The sequence below is a fragment of the Homo sapiens genome, chromosome 22, assembly GCF_000001405.40.
Source record: "Homo sapiens chromosome 22, GRCh38.p14 Primary Assembly".
Lineage (NCBI taxonomy): Eukaryota > Metazoa > Chordata > Mammalia > Primates > Hominidae > Homo > Homo sapiens.
In genome coordinates, this window is record NC_000022.11 from 40,607,722 (window position 1) to 40,630,751 (window position 23,030).

The 23,030-nt window shown below is 42.3% G+C and overlaps 1 protein-coding gene across 3 annotated transcripts in view, besides 1 other annotated feature; it reads right to left on the bottom strand.

Annotated features, from left to right (window-relative positions):
- MRTFA (myocardin related transcription factor A) overlaps positions 1-23,030 on the bottom strand; it is a 226,431-nt gene that overhangs the window by 197,433 nt on the left and 5,968 nt on the right. The window lies entirely within an intron of this gene.
- Positions 14,104-14,398: a silencer, noted in NCBI's record as "tiled region #12345; HepG2 Repressive non-DNase unmatched - State 6:EnhF". NCBI's record gives its function as "represses a minimal TATA promoter and a strong SV40 promoter by Sharpr-MPRA in HepG2 cells {active_cell/tissue: HepG2}" and the evidence as "EXISTENCE:reporter gene assay evidence [ECO:0000049][PMID:27701403]".

Consider the following 23,030-nt stretch of genomic DNA (forward strand, 5'->3'; position numbering starts at 1 on the left):
TTCTATGATCACTAAGCAATCATACATAGCCTGGCACATTACATCATTATTAAACACTCCACACTAGGGCAAACTATTCTTCAACTGTTCCAATTGTTTAACTTTTGAAATGGAATGATTTTTGCTTCAGAAAAATTCTTTAACATCAATTCTATTGTTTAGATGCTTCTGAGATTTAGACTTTGGGATTAACAATCTCCAATATAATTAAAGTTGAGATTGTCATGGTAATAATTCCTTCAGTTAATACAGTAACAACTGTAAGGATCAAATGAAAATCATAGACAGGCCATCAGGGGTCATCTTTTTGTTTTTTTCTTTGAGACGGAATCTCACTCTGTCGCCCAGGCTGGAGTGCAGTGGCACAATCTCTGCTCACTGCAACCTCCGCCTCCTGGGTTCAAGCGACTCTCCTGCCTCAGACTCCCGAGTAGTTGGGACTACACACCCGGCTACTTTTTTATTTTTAGTAGGGACGGGACGGTGTTTCACCATGTTGGCCAGGCTGGTCTCAAACTCCCGACCTCAGGTGATCCACCTGCCTAGCCCTCCCAACAGTTCTGGGATTACAGGCATGAGCCACCATGCCCGGCCTGTCATCTAACTTAAGGTCCTAATTTTACAGAGGAAACAACTCAGACCCAGAGAGGTTAGACAATTTGTTCAGTATTACGTAGCTGATTAGTGACAGATGAAAAATTTTAAACTTCAAGTCTACTGATGCCCCTTTGGCCAGGTGACCTTTTTAAATAATAGCTGCCACTTATGGGATAATTACAGTGCACCAGGTGCTGTAGATGTGACCTCATTTAATCCCACCACAATCCTATGAGGGAGGCACTATCAAATCCATTTTACAAATGAGGAAACCAGGACTCAACCTCAGGTCTGTTTGATGCCAAAGTCTTTGGTCTTAACCACTACACCATGCCTCCCTACTTTCCATTCATTCATTCATTCAAATACTTGCTAAGCAAGTATAATGTGTCAGGTACTGTCTGAGCCCTAGGGATACTAGTGATGAAGATGGACAAGGTCCCTGCTCTTCTGCATAATAAAAATAAAAGTACTTCAATATGAGGTACTTTTTTGTTGGCAGGGGGAACACAGTAATGTGATAATAACCACAGGGGCAGCACTATGTTATCCCTTATATATGAAAATACTAAAAATGTAAGATTACCACATCGCACCCATTAGAATGACTGTTATCAAATAAACAAGTTTTGGTAAAGATGTGGAGAAACTGGAACCCTTTACGTTGTTGGTAGGAATATAAAATTACATTTAGTTGGGCATGGTGGCTCATGCCTATAAACCCAGCACTTTGGGAGGCCGAGGCAGGCGGATCATGAGGTCAGGAGATCGAGACCATCCTGGCCAACATGGTGAAACCCCATTTCTACTAAAATACAAAAAATTAGCTGGTTGTGGTGGTGCACACCTGTAGTCCCAGCTTCTCAGGAGGCTGAGGCAGGGGAATCACTTGAACCTGGGAGGTGGAGGTTGCAGTGTGCTGAGATCACACCACTGCACTCCAGCCTGGGTGACAGAGCAAGACTCCTTCTCAAAAAAAAAAAAAAAAAATTACATTTAGCCAGAAAGTACATTTAGTCAGATATTGTGGCTTGAATTTGTAATCTCAGCTATTCAGGAAGCTCAGGCGGGAGGATCACTCGAGCCCAGGAGTTTGAGGCTATGGTGAGCTAAGACTGCATCACTGCCAGCCTGGGCAACAGAGTGAGACCCTGTCTCTTTAACAAAAAAAAAAAAAAAAAAAAAACACTTTAAATTTTTGATAGTGAAAAATGACTAACCAAGATTTTAGGCTGGGCACGGTGGTTCACATCTGTAATCCCAGCACTCTGGGAGGCCTAGATGGGTGGATCACTTGAGGTCAGGAGTTCAAGATCAGCCTAGCCAACATGGTGAAACCCTGTCTCTACTAGAAATACAAACAATTAGCCAGGCATGGTGGAGGGCACCTGTAATCCAGCTACTCGGGAGGCTGAGGCAGGAGAATTGCTTGAACCCGGGCAGCGGAGGTTGTGGTGAGTCGAGACTGCGCCACTGCACTCCAGCCTCAGAGTCAGAGCAAGACTCTACCTCAAAAAAAAGTAAACCCATCAAAGATAACAGGTATTTGAAATAATATATTCTGAAAGGCAGATAAACGTATGTCCTCTTTAATATATTAATTCTAGCTTGAGCGTAAGTACAAACAGTTCTAATCAGAGTAAAGAGGATAAATAGATCTTTCCAAATTAAACTATCAAGATTACACATACATGCAATTCCAAATGTCTGTTTCTTTTTTTTCTCTTTTTTTTTTTTTTTTTTTTGAGACAGAGTCTCACCCTGTTGCCCAGGCTTGGAGGGCAGTGGCGTGATCTCAGCTCACCGCAACCTCCACCTCCTGGGTTCAGACGATTCTCCTGCCTCAGCCTCCCGGGTAGCTGGGACTACAGGTACCTGCCACCATGCCCAGCTAATATTTTATATTTTTAGTAGAGATAAGGTTTCACCATGTTGGGCAGGCTGGTCTCAAACTCCTGACCTGAGATGATCCACCAGCCTCGGCCTCCCAAAATGCTGAGATTACAGGCATAAGCCACCATACCCAGCCTCTTTTTTCCTCATTCTTATATTCCTGTTAAATTTCTCTCAGTTCCTCTGATGTCTCAGCAGAGACAAACTGACTACTGTACAGGTAAAGGCAGTTCATTAAGCTCTCTTACTGGACTCAGATTGCTGCTGTAGGAACTGCCTCCTCTTAAATTTCTGAGCTATTATCAGACAGAAGCAGCTCTTAATCTCCTTGGCTTCCTTTTCAGGGGAATGTGCCAAGAAAAAGTGGGGGAGAAAAGACCTAGGTCCACAGTATCTCAAGTATTGTACTTTTTATCCATTATGGACTCTAAACACATATTATTCAGCTTCATACTAGGAATCCACCATCAATCTTCCTGGTTTTATTAAACTTGCTTGGCATAGATATATTAGATACATAAGAAAGAAAATATATCAATTAGGCGCAACTACTACCCCAGTGACACTATGACATAAATAGGGGAAAAAAAGTCTTGGAGGGAAAAATAAGTAAAAAAAAAGAGAAATAATAGAAGGGCATTAAAGGAAGAGGTGAGTCTGAAAACAAATTTGAGATTGGATGATTCATTTGTGTTCACCAAAGAGAGTTGTTTTCTTTTACTTTTTTTTTTTTTTTTTTTTTTTGAGATAGAGACTTGCTCTGTTGTCCAGGCTGGCAGGCAGTGATGCCATCTCGGCTCACTGCAACCTCCATGTCCCGGGCTCAAGTGATTTTCCGGCCTCAGCCTCCCATGTAGCTGGGATTACACGCGTGTGCCACCACGCCCGGCCGATTTTTTGTATTTTTAGTAGAGAAGGGGTTTCAGCATGTTGGCCAGGCTGGTCTCGAACTCCTGACCTAAAGTGATCTGCCCACCTTGGTCTCCCAAAGTGCTGGGATTACAGGCGTGAGCCACTGCGCCCAGCCTATTTTTACTTTTTATTTTTAGAGGTCTTGCTCTGTCACTCAGGCTGGAGTGCAGTGGCACAATCTTTGCTCACTGCAGCCTTGACTTCCTGGATTCGAGTGATCCTCCTGCTTCAGCCTTCCAAGTAGCTAGAACTAAAGGCACTCAAACCACCACATCCAGCTTTTTTTTTTAATTAAATTTTTTGTAGAGACATGGTCTTACTGTGTTGCCCAGGCTGGTCTCGAATTCCCAGCCTCAAGTAATCCTCCCACCTCAGCCTCCCAAACTGCTGAGATGACAGGAATGAGCCACTGCGCCCTGCCCAAAGAGAGCTGTTTCCCAAAGGAGTTTAGACTCATGCTAACTTTAACAATGAGCAAGGAGTTTGGAGCATGGGACAGGAAAGCTGTTCCATGAATTCAGGGCAGCTTGACCAAGGTTAGAGAAATGACAATTATCAGTACAGAATGATAACCAGTAATTTTTAAAGTTCTGTTTGAAGAAAAACAGACTAATTCTGCTTGATGACCTATAAAAGTCTACATTAGTCATAATCAGATTTCATGAAGATGGTACACAGCTATAGACTAACTACAAGACCAAGAAGCAATTTGGTTCTAGCAACTAAATTAAGTCAGTCCACTCATTGCTCAGACTCTAACTGGAAAGGAAGAAAAAAAACAAAAACAATTTCTATAGCTATACCAGAATATGTGGAAATGTTTTTGCTTCTTCTCATCTAAAAAGTTATGTACAGAGTCTGTTATTAAGCCTATGTTATTTTTCCACAGATAGCAGAGTACAAAGGCAAAAACCAAAGAAATGGTAGTTGAAACAGATTCTAAGAACAGCTTATCCAGCATTTGCTTTTATAAGTCAAATGTAAATTTCATATATAATCAACTGACATTTGTGTAATTCCTCACAATGAGCAAGTACTTTATTTAGGCAATGTAAATACATATGGTAGATACTCAGTAACTATTTGAATGAATGAATGATCTCATGCATACTCAAGAGACCACTTCCAGGAGAAACCAAAAAAAATTAACTCTCTAAAATGACTGCAGTTAGGAAACGGCAAGAGAATGAAGGATGAACTATCTTCCTGCAATGGGGCTGCAAGAAGGTACGTTATTCAGCCACTCATTCATTCAACAGAAATGTGAGGACCTATTACAAGTCAGGCACTCTTACAGTACACACATGTGTGGCAGTGTAGATTAGCTGTTAAGAACTGGCTACCTCAATCAAATTTGGCACGCAAACGTTTTTTGTTTAGTCCACAGAGTATTGACCTGGAGAGTACTTTTTAATCAACTTTGAAGTATAATTTGCATACAATAAAAAGCACACATTTTGAGTGTACAGTTTCAGTGAGTTTTGATAAGTGTATACTCTCATAAATCATCAATCTCAATCAAGAAAAAAAAACATTTCCATAAGCCAGGCACAGTGACTCACACCTGTAATCCTAGCATTTTGGAAGCCCAAGGCAGGAGGATCACTTGAGGCTAGGAGTTTGATACCAGCCCGGACAACATAGTAAGGCTCTGTCTCTACAAAACAATGTTTAAAACTTAGCTGGGTATAGTGGTGCATGGCTGCCCAGCTACTCAGGAGCCTAAGGTGGGAGGATCACTTGAGCACAGGAGGTCGAGCCTGCAGTGAGCCATGATCATGCCACTGCACTCCACCCTAGGTGACAGAGCAAGACCCTGGCCCAAAAACAACAATAACAAGGACATTCCCATCACTCTTCATATCCTTTGCAGTCAATATTCCACCCTTACTGCATCTAATCACCACTGATCTAATTTCTATGACTACAGGTTAGTTTTGCCTAGTGTAGAACTTCTTATAAATGAAATCATATAGTAAGTTCTCTTTTGTTTTCTTTCACTCAACATGTTTTTGAGATTCATTCACAGTGCTGCATGTATCCATAATTCATTCCTTTCTTTTTTCTAAGTAGTAATCCATTGTTTATTTATCCAACTTGTTTATCCATTCACCTGTTGATGGCATTTGGGTTGTTTCCAATTTTTCCAGCTATTGTGAATAAAGCTGCTATGAACATTCACATGGTTTTTTGTTGACTGTATGTTTTCATTTCTCTTGGGTAACAAACACCTAAGAGTAGTATTGCTAAATTGAATAAGTATATATCTAACCTTGTAAGAAACTGACAAACTTTCCAAAGTGGCTGTACCATGTCACACTCCTACAAGCAACAGGCCTGAACTACTGCTCTACATTCTCACCAATTCTTGGAACTGTCCATCTTTTTAAACTTTAGCCATTCTAATGGGAATAAAATGCTGTCTCACTGTGGTTTTAATTTGTATTTCTGTCCAGGTATGGTGGCTCGTGCCTGTAATCCCAACACTTTGGGATACTAAGACAGAAGGATTGCTTGGGCCTAGGAATTCAAGACCACCCTGGGAAATACAGAGAGACCCTGTCTCTAGAAAAAAAAAAATTTTTCCAGCCTGGCTGACATGGTGAAACCCCATCTCTACCAAAAAATACCCAAAAAATAGCCAGGCGTAGTGGCGCACACCTATGGTCCCAGCTACTCTGGAGGCTGAAGTGGGAGAACTGCTTGAACACACGAGGCAAAGGTTGCAGTGAGCCGGGATCGTGTGCACTCCAGCCTGAGTGATGGAGACCCTGTTTCAAAAAATAAAAAAATAAGCCGGGCGTGGTGGCTCATGCCTGTAATCCCAGCACTTTGGGAGGCCGAGGCGGGCGGATCACCTGAGGTTGGGAGTTTGAGACCAGCCTGACCAACATGGAGAAACCCTGTCTCTACTAAAAATACAAAAAAATTAGCCGGGCATGGTGGCGCATGCCTGTAATCCCAGCTACTCGGGAGGCTGAGGCAGGAGAATCACTAGAATCTAGGCGGCAGAGGTTGCAGTAAGCCGGGATCACACCATTGTACTCCAGCCTGGGCAACAAGAGCAGAACTCTGTCTCAAAAAAATAAATAAATAAATAAATAAATAAAAAATAAAAAAAAATAAAAAAATTTTATGTTAGCCAGGCATGGTAGCACCCACCTGTAGTCCCAGCTACTTGGGAGGCTAAGGTGAGAGGATCACTTGAGCCACAGAGGTCAAGGTTGCAGTTAACTATGATCACGCCAAAGCACTCTAGCCTGGGTGACAAAGTGAGACCCTGTCTCCAAAAAAAAAAAAAAATATTATATTTCCCTTGCAATTATGTTGAGTATCTTTTTACATGTTTTGGACATTCATAAATATTTTTTCTTTTTCTTTTGAGACGGAGTTTCGCTCTCGTTACCAGACTGGAGTGCAATGGCGCGATCTCGGCTCACTGCAACCTACGCATCCTGGGTTCAAGGGATTCTCCTGCCTCAGCCTCCCAAGTAGCTAGGATTACTGGCATAAGCCACCACACCCAAATGATTCTGTATTTTTAGTAGAGACGAGGTTTCTCCATGTTGGTCAGGCTGGTCTCAAACTCTCGACCTCAGGTGATCTGCCTGCCTCGGCCTCCCAAAGTGCTGGGATTACAGGCATGAGCTGCAGCGCCTGGCCCATAAATATTTTCTTCTAAGAAATGTCCATTCAAGTCTTCTACTTATTTTTTAATTGGGCCATTTGTCATATTATTAAATTTTTAAAGTTTTTTAAAACATATTCTGGATATATATAGCATGTGTAAATATTTCCTCCCAAGTCTGTGGCTTACCTTTTTAGTTTCTTATGGTGTCTTCTAAAGAACAGAAGGCTTTAATTTTAATAAAGTGCAATTTATCAATTTTTACTTTTATGGTGAGTGCTCCTTACACGTGCTAGAAAAAAAAAAATCTGCCTATGTCAAGGTCTCAAAGATTTAGTCCCATGATTTCTCCTATAAGTTTTATGCTTTTAGTTTGTATGTTTAGGTCTACAAACCATTTCAAATTAATTTTTATGTATCATATGAGACTGGGATTGAGGTTCATTTCTTTACATACAAATATCCACTTGTTCCAGCAATAGCTGTTAAAAAGACTATACTTTCCCCTTCTGAATTATGTTTGCGCTATTGCTGAAAATCAATTGACTATATATGTATGTATCTATTTCTGGACTCTTTATGGTGTTCCAATGACTGGTAAATACTGCATTGTCTTGATTACTCTTGCTTTATAACAAGTTTTGAAATCAAGTAATTTTGTTTGTTCTTCCTCTTGTAAATTGTTTTGGCTATTATAGGTCCCTTGTATTTCCATGTGAATTTTAGATTCAGAAAGTCAATTTCTCCCCAAAAAGTCCTGCTGAGATTTTGGGGAAGACACAATCTTTAGATTATTTGGGGAAGACTGGACAGCTTAACAATATTGGGTCTTTCAAATCATGCAGATGGTATATCTCCACTTATTTAGGTCTTCTTTAACTTCTCTTGGCAATGTTTTATAATTTTCAGTGTAAAAGGTCCTATATTTTCTTTTCTTTTTTTTTTTTTTCTCTTTTGAGACAGGGTTCTGTCACCCAGGCTGGAGTACAATGGCATAATCTCAGCTCACTGCAACCTCTGTCTCCTCAGTTCAAGTGATTCTCCTGCCTCAGCCTCCCGAGTAGCTGGAATTACAGATGGCCACCACCATGCCCAGCTAATTGTTGTATTTTTAGTAGAGATGGGGTTTCGCCACGTGGGCCAGGCTGGTCTTGAACTCCTAACCTCAAGTGATCTGCCCGCCTCGGCCTCCCAAAGTGCTGGGATTACAGGCGTGAGCCACTGCACCCGGCCAATATTTTCATTTAATTATTTCATTAAGTTTATTATTTCATTATTTTTATCAGATTTATCCCTAAGTATACACATTTTTAAAATTTAAATTGTTCATCAACATTTTAAAATAAAGAAAATTCACAATTTAAAAATTCCAGACTTCTGGCTTCTTTTTGAAAAGAAATCAGAAGATCAGCAATTCAAAGTCTACACTCCTTCATGCCAACAATATACTAGAACTAACAAGTGGATACCTTAGAGCATGTACTCTTCAATTTGCCACAGTTCCTACCACTCTTTATTAAAACCCATGATATACCCAATACCATTCATTTAAGGCACCTGCTTGGAGCCTACAGAGAGCAAAAGGCTTGAGGGAAGAGGAAAGAGCATGGTATGATTAGATATGCATTTTAAAACTCTGGCTTCAGTGTGGAGAATTGACTGAAGGGAGTTAGAGAGAATGACGGACGGAAGAAAACCAATTAAGCATTTATTTAATTGGTTTAACTGGAAATAGGGTGGCTTAGACTAGCTAGAGTAGTTTTAGTGGCAGAGATAAGAAGGTGACAAATGAGGTAATATTTATGGAGTGATTATCAACAGAAATGGATAATGGAATGGACGTGAGGAGGAAAAGGGAGATGCCAAAGATTCCCCTTCAGGTTTCTGACTTATGTTAACAAGGTAGACACAAGTGCCATTTACAGAAATGGGGAACGTTGGAGCCAGAGCAACTTTAGCAGTAGGAAATGAGGATTAAGAGTTCACTTTGGAATGTAAATTTGAGATGTCTGTGAGCCATCCCAATGGAGATAGAAAGTGACTAACATTCAAAAAAGATGGAGTAGCTGAGCACAGTGGCTCACGTCTGTAATCCCAGCACTTTTGGAAGGCTGAAGCAGGCGGATCACTTAAACCCAGCAGTTCGAGCCCAGCCTGGGCAACATGGTGAAACAAAAAATATTCTACAAAAAAATACAAAAATTATCTGGGCATGGTGGTGCACACCTGTAACCCCAGCTACTTGGGAGGCCAAGGTGGGAGGATTGCTTGAGCTCCAGGGGCATAGGTTGCAGTGACCTGAGCTGGCATCACTGCACTCCAGCTTGGATAACAGAGTGAGCCTCTACCCCAGAAAAGAAAAGCAAGACGAAAGAAAGAGAGAGACGAGAGAAGGAAGGAAGGAAGGAAGGAGGGAAGGAGGGAAGGAGGGAAGGAGGGAGGGAGGGAGGGAGGGAGGGAGGGAGGGAGGGCGGGCAGGGAGGCAGACAGGCAAAATGATGAAGATACACATTTGGGAATCATTGTCATGTAAATGTTATTTAAAGCTATGGGACTGGATGAGGTCTCCTACAGAGAGAGAAAACAAAAGGATTTAAGGCTGAGTCTTGAGAAAATCTCACAAACGGAGGCCAAATTGAAAAGGAGCTAGCAAAAGAGACAAAAAATGGCAGGTGTGGTAGAAAGAATGGCCTAGCCAGGCGCGGTGGCTCACGCCTGTAATGCCAGCACTTTGGGAGGCCGAGGCCGGTGGATCACAAGGTCAGGAGATCGAGACCATCCTGGCTAACACGGTGAAACCCCGTTTCTACTAAAAAATACAAAAAATTAGCCAGGCGTGGTGGCGGGCGCCTGTAGTCCCAGCTACTCGGGAGGCTGAGGCAGGAGAATGGCATGAACCCGGGAGGCGGAGCTTGCAGTGAGCCGAGATCTCACCACTGCACTCCAGCCTGGGCGACAGAGCAAGACTCTGTCTCAAAAAAAAAAAAGAAAAAAAAAGAAAGAAAGAATGGCCTAGCCATTAGGAGAATAATGTCCTACAAAAAATCAACTATGTCAAATGCCACTTGAGAGGTAAAATAAGAATTCAATTCATTCATTCATTCATTTATTCAAAAAGTACTTATTAACACCTACTACATGCCAAGTACTGTTGGTGTTGAGGATACAGAAATTGACAAAGTCCCTGCCCTTGTACAGACGATCATCTAGTGGGAAGAGACGGACAACAAACAGATGAATGTCAAGTGGTAATAAGTCTTCTGGAGAAAAGTGAAGCAGGATAAGGGGAGTAGGGAATGCCAGGGATTGAGGAGTAAGGTTGTTTTTTGTTTTTTTTTTTTGAGACGGAGTCTCGCTCTGTTGCCCAGGCTGGAGCACACTGGCACAATCTCGGCTCACTGCAAGCTCCACCTCCTGGGTTCACGCCATTCTCCTGCCTCAGCCTCCCGAGTAGCTGGGACTACAGGTGCCCGCCACCACGCCTGGCTAATTTTTTGTATTTTTTTTTTTTTTTTTTTTTAGTAGAGATGGGGTTTCACCGTGTTAGCCAGGGTGGTCTCAATCTCCTGACCTCGTGACCCACTCGCCTCGGCCTCCCAAAGTGCTGGGATTACAGGCATGAGCCACCAGGCCTGGCCACTTTTTTATATATGGTAACCTCTCTGATAAGGAGACATCTGAGCAAACATCTGAAAAAAGTGAGGAAGTAAACCATGCGAAGGGAGAGAGTATTTCGGGTAGAGGGAACAGCAAGCACAAAGACCTGGCAGATGCAGGAAAAGCAGGGAAACCAATGGGGTTGCCACAGAGTAAGCAAAGGGAGGAGTGGCAGATCTTGAAACAGACTTTAGCTACTATTAATAACTGGAGAACAGATAATAAGAAATCAAGGGCAGAAGCAGAGAATGCACTTCAAAAGAAGATATTGCAGGCCGGGCATGGTGGCTCACGCCTTTAATTCCAGCACTTTGGGAAGCCAAGGCAGGCAGATCACTTGAGGTCAGGAATTCAAGACCAGCCTGGCTAACACAGCGAAACCAGTCTCTACTAAAAATACAAAAATTAGCTGGGTGTGGTGGCTCACGCCTGTAATCCCAGCTATTTAGGTGGCTGGGGTGGGAGAATCTCGAACTCAGGAGGCAGAGGTTTCAGTGAGCCAAGACTGCGCCACTGCACTCCAGCCTGGGTGACACAGCAAGACTCCTTCTCAAAAATAAAAATAAAAATAATAATAATTAAAAATATATATATATATATCAATAATCCAGGCAAGAAATAATAATGATGGTGTGATGGTCAGTTTTATGTGTCAGCTTGACTAAGCTACAGTCCCCAATTATTCAACCAAACATTAATCTGAAGTGTTGCTGTGAAAGTATTTTGTAGATGTAACTAACATTCATAATCACTTGGCTTTAAATAAAGGAGGCTGTCCTAGATAATCTGGATGGGCCTGATTCAATCCACTGAAAGGCTTTAAGGGCTGAGTGTGGTGGCTCACAGGAAGTGAAAACTAAAGTAGAGAAAATCTGTGTTGTTGTATAGAGTACATATACTTTTATAAACAGAATGTTGGTAAAAATATGAATGTTAAAGGTACTCTTGACAAGCACTCAGAAGGAAATGAGGAACACGTTATTGGAAACTAACAGAAAGACGATCCTCGTTTTACAGTAGCAGAAAGGTTAGCTAAATTGTGTCCAACAGTTGTATGGAAAGCAGAATTTTTAAGCAAGGAATTTGGAAATTTAGATTCCCAAGCAACATACTGAAGGTACAGCCTGGTTTCTTCTTGTTATTTGCAGTAAAACATAAGAGGAAAAATTAATAGGAGAAATGTTAAACAAAAAGAAATTGGCCGGGTGCGGTGGCTCACACCTGTAACCCCAGCACTTTGGGAGGCCGAGACGGGCGGATCACGAGGTCAGGAGATCGAGACCATCCTGGCTAACACAGTGAAACCCCGTCTCTACTAAAAGTACAAAAAAATTAGCTGGGCGTGGTGGCAGGAGCCTGTAGTCCCAGCTATTCAGGAGGCTGAGGCAGAAGAATGGTGCAAACCTGGGAGGTGGAGCTTGCAGTGAGCCGAGATCACACCACTGCACTCCAGCCTGGGCAACAGAGCGAAACTCCGTCTCAAAAAAAAAAAAAAAAAAAAGAAATCAGTACTTGATGATTTGGGAAATTCTCAGCTTACCTGGATCACAAAAGATTTATTTATTTTTGGAGACAGAGTCTCACTGTCTCCCAGGCTGGAGTGCAGTGGCGTGATCTTGGCTCAATGCAGCCTCCGTCTCCCAGGTTCAAGCAATTCTCCCACCTCAGCCTCCTGAGTAGCTGGGACTACAGACGCATACCACCACACCCAGCTAATTTTTTTTTTTTTTTTTTGAGACAGAGTTTTGCTCTTGTTGTCCATGCTGGAGTGCAATGGTGCGATCTCAGCTCACCACAACCTCCACCTCCTAGGTTCAAGTGATTCTCCTACTCAGCCTCCCGAGTAGCTGGGATTACAGGCATGCATTACCACGCCTGGCTAATTTTGTATTTTTAGTAGAGATGGGGTTTCTCTATGTTGGTCAGGCTGGTCTCGAACTCCCGACCTCAGGTGATACACCCGTCTCAACCTCCCAAAGTGCTGGGATTACAGGCGTGAGCCACAACATGCAGTCTTTTTTTTTTTTTTTTTTTTTTGTATTTTTAGTAGAGACAGGGTTTCACCATATTGGCCAGGGTGGTTTTGAACTCCTGACCTCAGGTGATCCACCTGGCTTGGCTTCCCAAAGTGCTGGGATTACAGGTATGAGCCACTGCACCCAGCCAACAAAATATGTTAAAATTAGGAAATTCACTGTTAAGAAAAGCATGCTGTGGAGAGAAAGTCAAGCATGTTGCAGGACAACCTCTTAGTCATGCTGAAGGGATCAGGAGTGTGACTCATGAATTCCTTCAGCCAACCATAAGCAGAAGGTAGGAATGGAGATGGGATTATCCAGAAAAGCTCTATAGAGAACCCTCTTGTCTAATGACAAGAACCCCCAAAATATACATAGGAGACCCACAAGGTTTCTAACAATGTTATATCAGCAGAAACACTGTCAACTTGGACTGAAAGGACAAATAAAGAATGAAATAAAGGAAGGCTGTTGGCTGGATGTGGTAGCTCACGTCTGTAATCCCAGCACTTTGAGAGGCCAAAGCAGGAGGATAGCTTGAGCCCAGGAGTTCAAGACCAGCCTGGGCAACAAAATGAGACCATCCCTACAAAAAATACAAAAAATGAGCCAAGTCTGGTGGTGCATGCCTGTAGCCCCAGCTACTCAGGAGGCTGAGGCAGGAGAATTGCTTGAGCCCCAGGAGATGGAGGCTGCATTGAGCCATGATTGTGTCACTGCACTCCAGCCTGGGTGACAGAGCGAGACTCTGTCTTTAAAAAAAAAAAAAAAAGAAGAAGAAGACTGAAAGATGTTGGACTACCAAAATTCTACATGCAGCAATCAGGCTAATAAAAATACTCTTTACTCTTTCAGCCGTAAAAAGAAAGAAAATTCTGATACATGCTACAACATGGATGACTCTTGAGGACATTATACTAAGTGACATAAGCTAGTCACAAAAGACAAATATTGTATGGTTCCACTTGTATGAAGTACTTAAGAGTAATCAAAACCATAGAGACAGAAAAGGGAATGGTGGTTCACAGGGGCTGGGGAGAGGAGAACAGGGAGTCATTGTTTAATGGGTATAGAGCTTCAGTTTTGCAAGATAAAAAGAGTTCTGGAGATGAACGGCGGTGATGGTTTCACAATATGAATGTACTTAACACCACTGGACAGTACACTTAAAAATGGTTACGATGGTAAATTTTAACACAATTTTTAAACACCGTGGGCAAAAACTCTACTCAGTTGCAAATATATGCTTCTCTTCAAGAAAAAGGAAGGATAACTATGAAAGCAGAAGCTAGAGCCAGAGACTCAGAGGGCAGAGTCTCGAGTAAAAGAAAATTACTCACAGGCTTTGAAACATAATAAAAATTTTCCCTGCTGGATTTTGAAATTACTTAGTACCAGTAACCCATTTATTCCTTGCATTTTCTCCCTTCTGAAACCGGAATTATCTATAACTGTTACACTATACATGTCTGACCAGTGTATTTTGGGAACAGATAACAGATGATTTAGATAATGAGACTTTAAACTTCAGAGTTGGTGACAGAAGAGATCTCGGGCTTGAGTTGATGTTGCAATGGGTTGAGACTTTTGGGGATGTTGGAATGAGATGGGTGTATTTTGCCTGTGGAACAGACGAGCAGAGAAGAGACTATGATAGGCTGAAAAATGGCCCAAAAGATATCCATAGCCTAATACCGGGAATCTGTGAATGTTACCTTTTACAGCAAAAAGGGCTAGGAGTCTTTGCAGGCATGATTAAATTAAGAATTTTGGGGCCGGGCGCGGTGGCTCACGCCTGTAATCCCAGCACTTTGGGAGGCTGAGGCAGGTAGATCACGAGGTCAGGAGTTCAAGACCAGCCCGGCCAAGATGGTGAAACCCCGCCTCTACTAAAAAGTATAAAAATTAGCCAGGTATGATGGTGGCCTCCTGTAATCCCAGCTACTCGGGAGGCTGAGGCAGGAGAATCACTTAAACCTGGGAGGCAGAGGTTGCAGTGAGCCGAGATGGTGCCACTACACTCCAGCCTGGGTGACAGAGCGAGACTCCCATCTCAAAAAAAAAAAGAATTATCCAGGTGGGCTCTAAGTCCAATCATATGTCCTTACAAGAGAAGAGGGAGGCAGAGATATGACAAAAACAGTGCAGGAGAAAGAGATGTGCAGAGAGATTTAAAGATGCTGACCTTGAAGATTGAAGTGACGCTGCCACAAGCCAAGGAAAGCCAGTAGCCACCAGAAGGTGGAAGAGGTAAAGACCAGACTCTCCCCTAAAGCCTCTGGAAGGAATACAGCCCTTCTGACATCCTGAATTTGGCTCAGTAAGACTGATTCAAATGTATGACCTCCAGAACTATAAGAGAATGAATATCTGTTGTTGTAAGGCACCAAGTATGTAGTAATTTCTTACAGCAGTCACAGGAAACTAAACTAATAGAGATGGCTTGGAAGAGGGTGATTATGGTGGAGATGATTAAGAAGTGATCAGATTATGGATATATCTTGAAGACAGAGCTAACAGTATTTGCTGATGAACTGGATTCTATAAAGTGAGAAAGAGAAGATGACTCCAAGATTCTTTCCTGAGTAACTAGAAGAGTTATCATTTTACTAAACTAAGGGAAACTCAACATGTTCAGCAACATGTAAGCCAGCTGTGATCACAATGAAAACTGTTTTGGTAGAATTGGGGACTGGATACCAGATTAGAGAGAGTTAGAAAGTCCAGAGTACTATGTTCTTATAATTTACTTTGAATACCATTCTGTTCTCTTTCATTGTTATTCCTCTATTCATTGCCCTCCCCTTTACCCAGCTCCAATCTTTAATAGACCAAAGTTATGTAACACGGTGATTGATTCTCAAAGCAGGCCAAAATGTTCAGGATACTGTCTTTTTTTTTTATTATTATTATACTTAAGTTTTAGGGTACATGTGCACATTGTGCAGGTTAGTTACATATGTATACATGTGCCATGCTGGTGCACTGCACCCACTAACTCGTCATCTAGCATTAGGTATATCTCCCAATGCTATCCCTCCCCCCTCCCCCAACCCCGATACTGTCCTTTAAGCCAAGGGAGGACAGAATCAGGAAAGGGGTGTTCATTCATTTGACAAATATTTATTGAGCATCTACTATACTTCACGCCTGGCACTATTCTGGATGCTGAGAATAGGGCAGAGAAAAGACAGATATGCTCCCTGGCATCACAAAGCTTATAAGAAAAACATTTTAAAATTACATATTTAATTGTAACTGTGGTTAGTGCTACAAAGGATAATTTTTGAGTACTATGAAAATTAACATGTATTAAATACCTATTTTGGGTTAAATGCTTTACATTCAGGTAACTGAATTTACCTCTCACAACTATCTTATAAGTACATACAGCTTCAAAAAGATTCACCAAGCATGGTGGTTCACGTCTGTAATCCCACCACTTTTGAGAGGATGAGGCGAGAGGATCTCTTGAACCACAATGGGCAACACAAAGAGACTCCATCTCTACAAAAAACCTTAAAATTATTAGCTAGGTGTGGTGGCACATGCCTCCGGTACCAGCTACTCAGGAGGCTGAAGCAGGAAGATCACCTGAGCCCAGGACATAAAGGCTGTAGTGAGCCATGTTCAAACCACTGAACTCCAGCCTGAGAAATGGAGGAAGATCCTGTGTCAAAATAAAATTATTTCAATTTAAAAATTTAAAAAGATTGTCCAGGCACAGTGGCTAACACCTGTAATCCCAGCACTTTGGGAGGCCGAGGTGGGTAGATTACTTGAGGTCAGGAATTCAAGATAAGCCTGGCCAACACAGTGAAACTCCGTCTCTACTAAAAATTTTTAAAAATTAGCCGTGCATGGTGGGGCACGCCTGTAATCCCGGCTTCTCAGGAGGCTGAGGCAGGAGAATCACCTGAACCCAGGAGGCAGAGGTTGCAGGGAGCCGAGATCGCGCCACTGCACTCCAGCCTGGGCAACAGAGCGAGACTCCAACTCAAAAAAAAAAAAAAAAAAAGATTAAAAAAGATTAATTCCCTTGTTGTCTAAGATCACTGAGCTAGTGAGCAATAGAGCCAGGATTAAAAACAGGTGCATTCAACCCCATCACTACTATCTCTAAACAGTAGGGAAACCAAATAAGTACCCAGAAGAGGCAGGGTGGATCATGAAGGTAAAGTTTTGAGAATCCCTGCTCTAGAAAGCGTTTTCTAAGCTTTCTAAGCTCACCTCATGAAAGTGAATTTTGGAAGGCATTCAAAAAATCCCTTGACACTCTCCAAATAGAATAAAAGGTTACACTATAATTAACTCAGCGTTATTTGGGAAGCCAACAGGCTATTAGACATGTTGAAAATAAAATGTCATGATTAGCTTGTCCAAATTGTATAAGTCATGCCTGGTTTCCATATATATTGATCCTGCCAGATACACTTTAAGAATCAGCTTTCAGGTAAAGGTCAAAACATTAACTTTTTAAAAAGGGTCATTCATGCTACAGAGTGTCTGATCTAGGAAAATGATTAATCCACTGACTCAGGGTATATAAAGACTCATGACAGATATCACACAAATGAACCATAACATCCTATGAACTTCTACTGGGTAAAAGAAATCTTTAAATTTATCTCAAATGACTAGCATATGATACATTATGTTCTTGGTTCCCTGTTCCCATTCCAGGACTCCTAACCCCCCAAAAAAACATCTGAACGGAAAGGAAGTATCAACAAGATAATGTTAAATAGTTCAATGAATCTATAAAATAGAATAAAAGGCTCAGTGGCTCATGCCTGTAATCCCAACATTTTAAGAGGCCAAGATGGGAGGATCACTTGAGCCCAGGAGATCAAGATCAGCCTAGGCAACAGAGTGAGACACCTGTCCCTAAAAAAAAAATAAAAATAGGAGGGGTGTGTTGGCTCAAACCTGTAATCCCAACACTTTGGGAAGCCAAGGCAGGTAGACTGCTTGAGGCCAGAAGTTCACAACCAGCCCAGGCAACATAGCAAGGCCCTCTCTCTAAATAAATAAATAAATAAATAAATAAATAAATAAATAAATAAATAAGGCCTGGCAGGGTGGCTCACGCCTGTAATCCATAACTTTGGGAGGCTGAGGCAGGCAGATCACTTGAGGTCAGGAGTTTGAGACCAGCCTGGCCAATATGGTGAAACCCTATCTCTACTAAAAACACAAAAATTAGTCGGGCATGGTGGCAGGCGCTTGTAATTCCCAGCTACTTGGGAGTCTGAGGCACAAGAATCGCTTGAACCCCGGAGGCAGAGATTGCAGTGAGCCAAGATTGTGCCACTACACTCCAGCCTGGGCAACAGAGCAAGAAGACTCCGTCTCATAAATGAAAATAAATAAATAACACAGAATAAGTAAATAAAATAGAATAAAAACCCACAACCTCTTTCCCTTCAATGCCACAACCTTAGAGCATGAACCTGGAGTGCAAATTTAAAGAGTGAAAGGCTCTTGCATAGAAGCTTTAGTTCAAGTGATTTCTTCTCATAAAGATGATCACATAAACAATGGACAAAAAAGAAAATAACCCTTACTTTTTTTTTTGAAAGTGTCTCACTCTGTCCCCCAGGGTGGAGTGCAGTGGCATGATCTCAACTCACTGCAACCTCCACCTCCCCGGTTCAAGCAATTCTCTTGCCTCAGCCTCCCAAGTAGCTGGAATTACAGACCCCCACCACCACACCCGGCTGATTTTTTTGTATTTTTAGTAGAGATGGGGTTTCGCCATCTTGGCAGACTGGTCTCGAACTGCTGACCTCAGGTGATCCACCCACCTTGGCCTCCCAAAGTGCTGGGATTACAGGCATGGGCTACCATGCCTGTCCTAAGATTTACTCGTTTTTTTTGAGATGAGGTCTGGCTCTGTCACCCAGGCTGGAGTGCAGTGGCGCAACTACAGCTCACTGCAACCTTCACCTCCCAAGCTCAAGCAATTCTCTCCCACGCCTCAAGTTTCCAGAGTAGCTGGGATTATCGGTGCACAGCGCCGCGCCCGGTTATTTTTTGTATTTTTTGTAGAGACGGGGTTTTGCCATGTTATCTAGGCTGGTCTTGAACCTCTAAGCTCAAGCAATCCTCCCAAAGTACTGGAATTACAGGCGTGAGCCACCACGCCCAGCCAACCCTTACTTTTAATTTCTAAATTTCTCTTGCTCTACATTTTAAAGGAAAGACAATATATACACATATATATGGCAAACTCAAAAAGACTACTTTAAATATATCCATCATATAACTAAATACGAAACACAAAGCCAGGGCCAGGCATAGTGGCTCATGCCTGTAGTCCCAACACTTTGAGAGTTCAAGGCGGGAGAACTGCTTGAGGCCAGGGGTTCAAGGTTACAGTGAGCTACGATCGTGCCACTGCGATCCAGCCTGTGTATCAGAATGAGACCCTGTCTCAAACACACACACACACACACACACACACACACACACTAACTAAAGCCAAAGTTTCAACCATGATAACACCACTCTAACACCAAAATTCAACACAGTGCATTCTAAAATATTAGGAAAGGACAACTTTCCAAGTTCCTGTAAATTTTGTGGTAGAGAAAATATGTACAAATTAACCACAATCAAGAGACCCTGGATCACTTACCCCATTTACAATTTAAAAGATACTGAAACACTGACAAAAAAAAAAATTCTAAAAATGTGGATATTACAGTATGCCTTTATTTGGTAATTTTTTTGTTTCTGAGACAGTCTCACTCTGTTGCCCAGGCTGGAGTGCAGTGGCACAAACACAGCTCACTGCAGCCTCGATCTCCCGGGCTCATGCACTACAAGTGCATGTCACCATGCTGAGCTACTTTTTTTACTTCTTGTAGACACACGGTCTTGTCATGTTGCCCAGGCTGGTCTTGAACTCCTGGGCTCAAGTGATCCTCCCACCTTGTCCTCCCAAAGTGCTGGGATTACAGGTGTAAGCCATAATGCCTGGCCCTTATTTGGCAAGTATTAATTGAGCAACTTAAGATGTGAGGTTACTATTATAGTTTTCCACCTCAGGAATGGCAACCAGATACATATAATGAATACCGCACAGAATATTTTCTGAGCTATAACATCTTGATTACTACTACAAAGAGTTCTCACTATAACTGACATTTTCGCTAACTATGCAAAAGACACTGAACACGAAAAGACATTTACTAGAGGCAAAGTTAGGAACTTCATATACATCATGGTAGGAAGCCAGAATTATTTAATTCAAAAACAGATCTGGATTCAAATCCTGGCCAGGCACAGCGGCTCATGCCTGTCATCTCAACAGTTTAGGAGGTCAAAGCGTGAGGGCAAGAGTTCAAGATCAGCCTGGGGAACACTGTGACACCCCGCCTGCACAAAAAAATTTAGCCGGGCATGATGGCACACGCCTATAGTCCTAGTTATGCAGGAGAACTGCTTCAGCAGTTTGAGGTTACAGGAGTTTGAGGACACAGTGAGCTATGACCCTGCCACTACACTCATGTCTGGAAGACAAAGCAAGACTCTGTCTAAAAAAAACAAAAAAGCAAAACAACAACAAAAATCCTGTTATCTAGAAGTTCCTCTAGAAGCTTCTCTTTGCTCATCTGCAAAATGCTGCTACTACCACTTATTTCAGAGTTCATATGAGGATTAATAAGGTAGCACAATGTCTACTATAAAGTAGATGCCCCTATTACTTCCCTCTTTACATTTCTTCATAATCCTTATAACGACCTCATGTTGTAAGGATTATTAACTCTAGTTTACAGATGAAGAAGCTGAATCACAGGAAGGTTAAGGAGTAAGCCTACAGTCACATACCTGGTAACTGTCAGTACCCAGATCTGCTGTGCCCTAAAACTTGACATGGACATGTTACCTCACTGGATATTTTACTCTGTCATATTATGAAGTTCAGAACTTTGTTTGAATTATGCCCATTATGCTTTAAATTTTAATACAAGAACAATTATTTTCAAAAACCAGAATCACCCATAATTTCCACTCATAATTTTAGAGGACAAAGACCTGTAAATAGCCTACCTATCTAGAAATTCAGTAACAGAGGACACACTCCAGATCTCAAAATGAACTAGCCAAATTACTCATTACAAGCTCTCATTTACACAGAGAATGATTTCTAAATGCATATCAATAAGAATGAGTGGGGAGCAAATGAACCAAACATACCACAGAAGTAAAAATGTGGAAGTAAAAAAAAAAAAAGACATTTTCACAACGCTCTTTCTTCCAAGGATTCTACAGATCTTCTATTACTGCTATATGAGCCGGCCTTAAATACTGTGTGAGGAACTGGCCTGGGCTCAGCCCCTGGACTGTTGTGGAACTCAAATCATTTAATTTCACAGTGCCTCCTCCCACTAAACAATGAGAGAACTGGACTTGAGTCATGAACCACAGAACTGAAGGCAACTTGAGCAATTAGTTCCACCCAATGCACCCTGACAGGTCACCCAATTTCTGCTTTAACACCTGCAGTGACACAGAGTGTAATTATCTTCTCTCCTCATACATGTGATATGGATTCAGTATTTTTAAGAATTTTGGCCAGGCACGGTGGCTCACACCTGTAATCCCAACACTTCGGGAGGCCAAGGCAGGAGGATTGCTGTGGCCAGGAATTTGAGACTAGTCTAGGCAATATAGCAAGACTCTCTTCTCTTCTCTACAAAAAAAATTTTTTAAATTAGCCAAGCAGAGGCTGGGCGCGGTGGCTCACATGTGTAATCCCAGCACTTTGGGAGGCCGAGGCGGGCGGATCACTTGAAGTCAGGAGTTTGAGACCAGCCTGTCCAATATGGTGAAACCCCGTCTCTACCAAAAATACAAAAAAATTAGCCGGGCATGGTGGCACATGCCTGTAGTCCCAGCTACCTGGGAGGCTGAGGCAGGAGAATGGCTTGAACCCGGGAGACGGAGGTTGCAGTGAGCCAAGATCGAACCACTGCACTCCAGCCTGGTCAACAGAGCAAGACTCCGTCTCAAAACATAATTAAAAAAAAAAAAATTACCCAAGCAGGCCAGGCACAGTGGCTCACGCTGTAATCCCAATACTTTGGGAGGCCGAGGCGGATGGATCGCCTGAGGTCAGGAGTTCGAGATCAGCCTGGCCAACATAGTGAAACTCCGTCCCTACTAAAAAAAATATATACATATACAAAAAATTAGCTGGGCGTGGTGGTGGGTGCCTATAATCCCAGCTACTCGGGAGGCTAAGGCAGGAGAATTGCTTGAACCCAGGATGCGGAGCTTGCAGTGAGCCGAGATCCCGCCACTGCACTCCAGCCTGGGTGACAGAGCAAGATTCCATCTCAAAAAAAAAAAAAAAAAAAAAAAAATTAGCCAAGCATGGTGGTACATGCTGTTGTCCTAGCTACTCAGGAGGCAGAGGCAGAAGGATCACTTAAGACAAGGAGTTTTGAGGTTGCAGTGAGCTATGATCCCACCATATGCTTCACAAGAGCTTAGAGGTGGAACTAGGGCCCACACTAATACCTAGAATGAGAACCTGTGTGGCTGAGTTTGAGGGACAAGGTTAATCTGGAGGGCATTTAAAAGGTACAGGACTGGCCAAGCACGGTGGCTCATGCTTATCATCCTAGCGCTTTGGGAGGCCAAGGCAGGCGGATCACCTGAGGTCAGGAGTTTGAGACCAGCCTGGCCAACATATAGTGAAACCCTGCCTCTACTAAAAAATACAAAAATTAGCTGGGCATGGTGGCACATACCTGTAATCCCAGCTACTTGGGAAGCTGAGGCAGGAGAATCGCTTGAACCTGGGAGGCGGCAGTTGCAGTGAGCCATGATCACACCACTGTGCTCTACCCTAGGCAAGAGAACGAGACTCTGTCTCTCAAAAAATAAAAATAAAAAAATAAAAGGTACAGGCCTGGGTGTGGTAGCTGGATGACAGAGTGAGACTCTGTCTCTTTAAAAACAAAACAAAAGAAACAAACAAAAAAACACCTGGGCAGTTTTTAAGTCAACAGAATCGTTTTTCTGTTGTACAAAATCAGAGATTTCAGACTTCAACTTGGAGAAAGCTGAATCCATTTCTATTTCCTTTCCTTTCGACGTAACAAATCTACTTCCTAAAGTAGTAAAATGGAAGTCATCTTCATTAGGAAGATCACTACTGCCTCTAAAGAGTTTATCTAAACTGATGCAGTTTCACAAAATCCGTCCTTTGAATTCCTAAACTTCTATACTCCAGATTTAGAAGTTTCTTATAATTAACTTTCTAATTTATTTATTTACTTGAGACAGTGTCTCATCTGTTAACCAGGCTG